This window comes from Homo sapiens, chromosome 5 (assembly GCF_000001405.40).
Source record: "Homo sapiens chromosome 5, GRCh38.p14 Primary Assembly".
Taxonomy (NCBI): Eukaryota; Metazoa; Chordata; class Mammalia; order Primates; family Hominidae; genus Homo; species Homo sapiens.
In genome coordinates this window covers 68,887,454-68,888,583 of record NC_000005.10, presented here as the reverse complement: position 1 = coordinate 68,888,583, position 1,130 = coordinate 68,887,454, and positions in this window count along the sequence as shown.

The window sequence follows — 1,130 nt, the reverse complement described above, 5'->3', positions numbered from 1 at the left end:
GTAGAGCTCCAGAACTTATACATCCTTTCTGGCTGAAACTTTGTGCCCTTTGATCAACATCTTCCCATTTTCTCCCTGTCCCGCCCCTAGTCCCTGGCAACTGGTGTTCTACTTTTGCTTCTGTGAGTTCAAATTTTTTTAGATTCCACATATAAGTGAGATCATGCAGTATTTGTCTTTCTGTGCCTGGCTTATTTTACTTAGCATAATGTCCTTCAGGTTTATCCATGTTGTTGCAAATGACAGGATTTTCTTCCTTTTTAAGGCTGAATTATATTCCATTGCATATATATGCCACATTTTCTTTATCCATTCATCTGTCAATGGACATTCATGTTGATTTTATATTTTGGCTGTTGTGAATAATGCTGCAATGAATATGCAAGTACAGATACCTCTTCGACACACTGATTTCATTTCCTTTGGATCTATACTCAGAAGTGGGGTTGCTGGATCATATGGTGGCTCTATTTTAATTTTTTTGAGGAACCTCCACATTGTTTTCCATAATGGCTGTACTAATTTACATTCCCACCAACAGTGTACGAGGGTTCTCTTTTTTCTGCATGCTTGCCAACACTTATTTTCCATCTTTGTGATAATAGCCAATCTAACAGGTGTGAGGGAATATCTTCTTGTAGTTTTAATTTGCATTTGTCTGATGATGAGTGTTAAATCAAGTTTAGCTTAAAGTTGCCTCCTTACATATTTTAAGTTCAGCCTAAAGGGTTTTCTGTACACCATGAACTATATAACAAGTGGAGGTGTAACCATACTGTAACCTATACTTGTGCCAATCACTGAGTTTTGGTCAATCACTTGTAGCCAACTGTTCGAACTGTGTTCAAATAAGGCAAATGCCGAACTGTAATCAATCCAGCTGTTTCTGTACCTCACTTTCCTTTTTCTGTCCATAAATCTTCTCCCACCATGTGGCTGCGCTGGAGTCTCTGGGCCCACTCTGGCAAGGAAGGCTGCCTTGAACAACAAGTTCATGACTCATTTGTTGCTCAATTAAACTTCTTTAAATTTAATTCAGCTGAAGTTTTTCTTTTATTATTAGTGATGCTAAGCATTTTAAAATATACCTGCTAGTCATTTGTATATCTTCTTTTGAGAAATGTCTATTC